This window comes from Homo sapiens, chromosome 4, assembly GCF_000001405.40.
Source record: "Homo sapiens chromosome 4, GRCh38.p14 Primary Assembly".
Lineage (NCBI taxonomy): Eukaryota > Metazoa > Chordata > Mammalia > Primates > Hominidae > Homo > Homo sapiens.
This window is the reverse complement of record NC_000004.12, coordinates 27,074,996-27,083,380: the sequence shown is the minus strand read 5'-3', so window position 1 is coordinate 27,083,380 and position 8,385 is coordinate 27,074,996. Positions and strand designations below refer to the sequence as shown.

Here is an 8,385-nt window from a genome sequence, read left to right as displayed (position 1 = left end):
ACTGTAAGCTTCTTGAGGCCAGGTTATGTCTACACTGGTCACCAGTCCCTCCAAAGAGATTAGCACAATTCCCAGCACATAGTACAGCTCAATATATCTCTGTTAAATCGATGGATGGATGGATGGATGGATGGATGCATGCATGAATGAATGAACAGTGGTAAAGTGCACAGTAGTATAGGAAGAAATAATTTTCTTCAGCATACGTCTCCAGCCTATACGTATCTAAGTAGAATAATTGAGTACCCTAATGGAAAGAGCTATTTTGTTTGCTAGTGAGAGAAACTAACCCAAGCTATGGGACAGTGTCTTGAGAACAGAAATGGATCCAGACCTCGGAGGACCCAGGAAGAGGAACTGGGAGCAGTGTTATTGCTCTATCTCTCATCTCAGCAACCCCCACCCCAAAAAACACACACATAGCTGCTTCCTTCTTCTCTCTTGCAACATAAGTTTTTTCTGCTTCTGCCTGGGAGAATCCGCCAAGCAAACCTTGTCTTTGGGGCAATCCAACTACCCAGAAAGAGTGACTCTCTTTCTCCATCCCAATCTAAATTCTCAGGGAAAAAATCTCTGATTGGTTAAACTTGGGTCAAGTGTCCACCTTTTGTTAATCGGGGGCAAAGAAGCAAACATGGCTATAAGGAGTAGCCTACCTTTGCAGTTCTTAAAACAGAGGGACTGAGCAGGTAATGCAGTAGACGCCCTCTCCAGCTACTCTGAGCTTGTCCTATATGGCAAATATCTGGGTGGCCTAATGTCTCTGGAGGCACCACAGCCTTCACAAGCTAGCAGCCTTGTGAACAGGTGGACATTCAGTACTTGAGAGTAGACTTTGATAGTCAGGTTGCACTCAGTCCTAATACACCCAGACTTATGCATGTTACCTTTGAATAACTGCAAACCACAGCTGCACATGCAGTGCAGACATGTTTCCTGGGAAATCTCAAGGAAGCTACACCCAGAGCTGCACCAGCCTGAGCAGGAACTGGAGGCCAGCCCTAAAGCTGGAAGATGATTTCCTCATGCACGGCACGCTCACTGCTAACTGGCCAGTGCAGAGTGCAAGAAACACGACCCACAAGAGGACATGCTGGAATTGATGCCTCCCTGAGAAATGAAACCCCCAGAAGCCTTTGCAAAGGACTAAGAGTGAGGTTAGTTTCTGTCTGTACAAGCCAGAGACTCAGGCTTTTGCAGATATGATTATACCATAGGGAAAAGCCACATTAAAAAAAAAAATCCAGAATAAGAGAAAACTACTTAGAGGCACTTATCATAATGAAGCTACATTAAATTACAACAAATAGATGTCCTCTTGAAAGAACTTGCACAGATAAAATGCCTTAACTGGCTGAGGGGGACTAAGAGTGTCAGAACCAGAAATGTCAAAACCAAAAGGGAAACTAACAGGAATCTAATTCAGGGGCCTCGCTTGACAGATGGTGGATTTCCAAGGGGATGAAGGGACTTGCCCTCTCTCATAATAGCTAGTGAGAAAGCCCTGGTTAGAAGTTAACTCTGCCAGGTCCCTAGTGGGTCCTATTATTGCCTCTCTTTCCCCGTACAGCAGTGAGTAAAACCAAGAGAGAGGGTAATTAAAGAGTGTTAAAGCAAAGGAAGAAGAAAAACCAAGAGAAAGCAAACAAACTCATCCAAACAAACCAGAATGCAGTAGTCAAGAAATAACATAGTCGTTCCCTCTGAAACCAGCCTGGGATATGGTAAGTGTGAAGTGAAGAGCATTTCATCAATTGCTAATTGCTGATACAGGGTAGGGCTCATCGTATACACATGACAAAGTCTCTTTTGAAAGGACAACAGTCAGTTTACAAGAATATTCCGTAAGGTCATTTTCTCTTTGCTTCTTTCACAAAACAACTGTGTTCTTTTTTGCATGAAGACAAAGGCTAACAAACACTTACTAGAGGGAGGAGTGGCCAGTGGAGGGGGCTCTTTGAGGGAGTGCCCAAGCCATCCTCCCAGGATGCTGACTCTTGATGACCTTCCCTAAGAAGCTAGGGCAGGTCTACAGGGTGGACAGCTGTTCTACATTTGCTGAATTAAAATAGGAGCACCCCTAACCCAAGCCTGTTCCAGCCGGTCATTGCCACTGGAATCGTGGGTCAAGTTGAGCTAGCTAATGAGCTGCATGAGCCAGGCCTATACATGAACTAGGAAATGTGTCCATAGAAATTAATATATCCGTTTTTGCCAATGAAAATTTTAAACGGTTAACTCCAGTCATCAAATCCATTTGGTGCACACTGATCCTATTGCCTTCCAAACCAAACTTCCCTCACTTCTCTTCCGATTAACTTCCCAGAGGGCAGCTGTGGTTTGGGTAGAACTTCAGAGAATCAGCTCCTCTCCAAAACCTAAAGAGAACACAAGCTGAGCTCTTGTGCCAAGTTACTACATTATGCCTGTCTGGGGGTGAAGGCTTCACACACAGAGATGAGAAGGAGAAGCCGCCACCGGGCCCTGTTCTGTCTCATGTTGCACACTCAGGATAGTTGGGTGTCATGTGTACAGAATAGGAAGGTGCCAGCCATGTTGTGTTCGGTGCTCTGGAAATAGCCACCTTGCTCCCATATCTTGCTCCTAAATTTCTGGGTCCCATTCTCTTGGCACCTTCTTTTTAATTAAAGAACTAAAACTTAATGAAGGTCCTCAACATGGAAAGAGACAGGACCCCAAGGAAACAGAGAAAAAGCAGATGCATTGGGATGAGCAAGGAGTAGGGCCAGAGGATGGGAGGTCAGCAGGCACAAGAGGGTGTGCTCACAAGAGAGTGGGAACAGATAGAGCTAATGGGGTTGAAGTTGTGAGTCTACCCTGAGGCAGACTGAAGAGTCTGGCTGTCAGGAATCCTCTTCTGTGCTGTGCAGAATGGAGGTGATAACCTGTGAGGTCCAATGGGGCCATGGAAGACAACACATAGGCAAAAAGATTCATAGGAAAAATGTATCTTACGTTCTTGCCATCTGCAATAGGAAGGCAGAAGATGCTGTTAAGTCCCATACAAGTTCCAGGCCAGGTTCCAGCAACCATGACATCTCAGATCCAGGACGACCATGCCTGATTCTTCCTTCCTGATCTTGGCCAGCCCACTGATCCCAACTCTCCAGCCTGATAGTAAAATTTTTCAAGGACTCTGTTGCCCTTCACTGTCCCTGGGCCTTGGTTGGAATCGCCCTCCCCGAATGTCAACTTTTGGGCAGCAGAGGTTGAGGTATGGGTGCTTTAATGCCCAGAAGGCAGCTGGACTCCTTGTCTGTGCAGGCACCTTCCCTCCTAGAACTCTGAAGGGGGAGGCAACATTTGCCAAAAGCACAAAGCAATAGTTATAACCAGTTCTCAGGAAAATGGGAGTGTCTTCCCATTACTGGTTCTATGATCCCTGGATCTATCAAAGAAAACAACCTACTGAGTCTGTTTTCTTTTTTGCCAAATGAAAATAAAAATAGATAGTTATTTTGTAAATTTAGATGAGATAATCCATGTAATGCACTGTGCATACACATGCTCCATGAATGCTGGGTATTATATAAAATGCTGCATCAGGCCAAGCACAGTGGCTCACGCCTATAATCCCAGCACTTAGGGAGGCCAAGGCAGGTAGATCACTTGAGGTCAGGAGTTCGAGACCAGCCTGGCCAACATGGCAAAACCCCGTCTCTACTAAAAATACAAAAAAATTAGCCAGACGTGGTGGTGCACTTCTGTAATCCTAGCTACTCAGGAGACTGTGGTGGGAGGATCAAGTGAAACTGGGAGGCAGAGGTTGCAGTGAGCTGAGATCACACCACTGCACTCCAGCCTGGGTGACAGAGTGAGACTCAGTCTCAAAAATAAAATAAAATAAAATAGAATGCTATATCATTATCATTCACCTACAGTTGCGTAAATAAGGATTTTCAAAAGACCCTCTGGGAATGAAGAACTGCTTCAAACTGGCTTTATGCCTCAGCCTATTCCTTTTGCAATTGGAATCTTCTCTTAGCTAATGCCTGTCCTCTTCAACACTTGTGCCAATTAATGGCCCCAGCACCCTGGCTACATCAAGAGTTAATGCAGACGTTTCACTAGATTGCTGTCTGGAGGTTATTCTGCATATCTATGCACTTCGCCATTCATTCATCTCTGACCCCCTTCCACACTCACAAGCACAGCAGCTACTTAAAAAAGAAAATACATAAAAGGCTTTCAGGAGACAGAAAAAATGTCTCATGTAATCCCTGTTCTAGTCTCATGATGCACTGACACAGAGGAGTGTACTAGAGCCCATGTTTAAGTCCATTTGAATTAAATCGTGCCTTTGCTGTGTCTCTGTATTACCCAGCACACAAGGGTCTCTGTCCAATAGTAAAGGTTGCCCACACTTTCGTAGTTCAAACCTGGGGACAGCAACCACTTTGTAAGCATCCAGGATCACCTATGCATTCATTTATCTCCTTACAAAATAGGTCCTTTGCAATTGTCACTTAAATCTGATTAGGATGAGGAAATAAAAGGAAGCCAGGATTTAAACAGGCTAGTGAGCTTAAATGAGATTCTATCGAACACACAAAATCATTAGCAAATGTGAATGTGATTGATGTAATATTGCATTAAGAGCTGTTTTAAAAAGCGTTCCTTTTGCAGTGTTTATTTATGGGAAGGCCGTTGGTCTCTTTCCCTATACATTTCCTCCTCACCACCCACTTCAGTGTTTGAATTGTTTTCCCTCTAAGATGTTGATACAAGAGAATCATTTATTCTAACTGGCTTCCGTTAGGCCCCTGTGATGTTCCCTGAACTGTGCCAACATTGAGACCCAGAAATGAAAACGTCACAGGCCCTGCCTCACCGGGACAGTGGTGGAGTGTGCAGCTGTGCAGGCTAAGGGCTAGAATGCAGACACAGGGAAAATGTCTAGGGTTGCAGACAAGGAAGAGAGTTGCTCATTTCAGAACCCTAAGAAGACATCACCGAGAACACATTTCGGAAGAGCTTTTAGGAGTGAGGATTTCACCAGGAAGAGAAGAGACCTTGTATGTGGAGGAAATAGTAGAGATTGGAAGGAGAGAAAGGGCTTAATGTTTTCATAGACGGCAATCCCAACAATAAGCCTAAAAGGAAAGTGATTCGCATTATGTATCAGGTAAGTTATTGACCACAAGTAATGGAAAGCAATACCACCAGTAAGTTGCCTGAACCATTAAGACAATTATAGTTTCTTTAAGAAACAATCTAGGAGTCTGTGGTTTCTACCTGGTTCCAGGGTCCACTCTGTGCCTCAGCTGTCATCAGATACCAAGGCTCTGACTATTCTTTTCTTCTACCATCCTCAGCGTGTTGGCTCTCTGCCCTCTTGCTTTGAATTTGCATTTGCCTTGCTTGTCACCTCATGACTGCAAGATGGCTGCCACAGCTGCAGACATCACATCCTCATGTTAGTGTCCCAAGAAGGAAGGAAGAGGTGGAGCCAATAGGATTTTTTTAAATCTGAAAGTAAAAGCTTTCCAGAACCATGCCCTCCTCCTCCAACTGACTTCTTCTTAGGTCTAAAAATAGATAATTTTCCACTCCTTATATATAAAGGGAGAAGGGATAAATGAGTATGTGGCAAAGGGAAATGGAATACTGTGACTGGATTGAATCAATCCTGATTTGTCCCTGAGGAAGGATACATGTTTGGGTTGATAACCAACAGTGCTGTTGAATTTATTATGGAATATCTAAGACATACAAAACAGCTTAAAGGATAACGTAATAAATAACCCAGTATTCATCATCCAACTTCAAAACTAATTCATAGCCAACATAGTTAAATCCCCCATATAGGACCCTTCTAGATTCCTCCCCTGTTTCTTTCCTCCCAGGAAGAACCCCGTCCTGATTTTAGAGATTTATCATTTATTTGCATTTATTTTTTTCTTCTTTCTCTCTCATTCGATAGCTCTCTCTCTCTTTCCATCTATCTACCTATTGAGAGAGAGAGAGAAAGATCTCTACTCAACTTACAGAATTTTTGAATACATTGAACATTCGTGTAGATATTATTACTACAAATATTTATTTGCAAATTGCTTTCTTTAATCAACATTATGTCTGTGGAGTTAGTCAATATTGATTCATGTAAGCTCTAGTTCATTCTTTTTCACCGCGATATAAAATTCCATCATAGAGCTTAATTTATTTCTCCCCGAATGGACACTAGGAAGTTTCCAATATTTTACTATTGTAAATCATACTTTTATGATTATTTTTAATGTTTCCTGACATATGTGTGTGTGTGTATATATATATATATATATGTCTATATGTAGATATATGTATGGATATGCACATATATCTATATGAATGTGTGTATATGTATGTATGCACATTATATATATGAATTCATATCAGGTATGTATCTAGAAGTGTAATTCTTGGTAATAGTGTATGAATATCTTCAACTTTACTGGATGTTGCCAAATTTTTCTCCAAAGTGGCTGTAACAATTTTCATTTCTACCAGCAATGGATAAGAGGTCCCATTACCCCACATCCTAACCAAAACTTGGTACCATCATACTTTTTAGTTTGAGTTTTTGTCAACCTGATGGTGTGAAATAATGCCTAATTTTAGCTTGCTTCCTTTATTTATATATTTATTTATTATTATTATTTTTTTTGAGACGGAGTCTCGCTCTGTTGCCCAGGCTGGAGTGCAGTGTTGCAATCTTGGCTCAGCGCAACCTCCACCTCCTGGGTTCAAGTGATTCTCCTGCCCCAGCCTTCTGAGTAGCTGGGATTACAGGTGCACGTCACCATGCTAGGCTAATTTTTTTGTGTTTTTAGTAGAGAAGGGGTTTCACCATGTTGGTCAAGCTGGTCTCAAACTCCTGACTTCGGATAATCCACCCCCCTTGGCCTCCCAAAGTGCTGGGATTACAGGCAAGAGCCACCGTGCCTGGCTTAATGTTAACTTTAATTTGCATTTTCCTTATTACTTGTAAGGTTAGCCATCTTTACATGTGTTTATTAGCAATTGATGTTTCCACTTCAGTAAATTATCTCTTAACCATTTTGCCCATTTTAACTAACTGTTTGTTTTTCACTTTTTGAATTTAAGAAGTTGTTTATGGGGGGAGGAGCCAAGATGGCCGAATAGGAACAGCTCCGGTCTACAGCTCCCAGCGTGAGCGAGGCAGAGGACCGGTGATTTCTGCATTTCCACCTGAGGTACCGGGTTCATCTCACTAGAGAGTGCCAGACAGTGGGCGCAGGCCAGTGGGTGCGTGCACCGTGCACGAGCCGAAGCAGGGCGAGGCATTGCCTCACTTGGGAAGCGCAAGGGGTCAGGGAGTTCCCTTTCCGAGTCAAAGAAAGGGGTGACGGACGCACCTGGAAAATCGGGTCACTCCCACCCGAATATTGCGCTTTTCGGACCGGCTTAAAAAACAGCGCACCACGAGATTATATGCCGCACCTGGCTCAGAGGGCCCTACGCCCACGGAGTCTCGCTGACTGCTAGCACAGCAGTCTGAGATCAAACTGCAAGGCGGCAGCAAGGCTGGGGGAGGGGCGCCCGCCATTGCCCAGGCTTGCTTAGGTAAACAAGCAGCCAGGAAGCTCGAACTGGGTGGAGCCCACCACAGCTCAAGGAGGCCTGTCTGCCTCTGTAGGCTCCACCTCTGGGGGCAGGGCACAGACAAACAAAAAGACAGCAGTAACCTCTGCAGACTTAAATGTCCCTGTCTGACAGCTTTGAAGAGAGTAGTGGTTCTCCCAGCATGCAGCTGGAGATCTGAGAACGGGCAGACTGCCTCCTCAAGTGGGTCCCTGACCCCTGACCCCCGAGCAGCCTAACTGGGAGGCACCCCCCAGCAGGGGCACAGTGACACCTCACACGGCAGGGTATTCCAACAGACCTGCAGCTGAGGGTCCTGTCTGTTAGAAGGAAAACTAACAAACAGAAAGGACATCCACACCAAAAACCCATCTGTACATCACCATCATCAAAGGCCAAAAGTAGATAAAACCGCAAAGATGGGGAAAAAACAGAACAGAAAAACTGGAAACTCTAAAACGCAGAGTGCCTCTCCTCCTCCAAAGGAATGCAGTTCCTCACCAGTGACGGAACAAAGCTGGATGGAGAATGACTTTGACGAGCTGAGAGAAGAAGGCTTCAGACGATCAAATTACTCTGAGCTATGGGAGGACATTCAAACCAAAGGCAAAGAAGTTGAAAACTTTGAAAAAAATTTAGAAGAATGTATAACTAGAATAACCAATACAGAGAAGTGCTTAAAGGAGCTGATGGAGCTGAAAACCAAGGCTCGAGAACTACGTGAAGAATGCAGAAGCCTCAGGAGCCGATGAGATCAACTGGAAGAAAGGGTATCAGCAATGG

At 44.1% G+C, this 8,385-nt stretch overlaps 1 annotated feature.

The window, feature by feature from the left end:
* Positions 7,312-7,906: an enhancer, noted in NCBI's record as "OCT4-NANOG-H3K27ac-H3K4me1 hESC enhancer chr4:27077097-27077691 (GRCh37/hg19 assembly coordinates)". NCBI's record gives its function as "activates a minimal SCP1, AML or CMV promoter by ChIP-STARR-seq in naive and primed H9 embryonic stem cells {active_cell/tissue: H9 hESC(naive and primed)}" and the evidence as "EXISTENCE:reporter gene assay evidence [ECO:0000049][PMID:30033119]".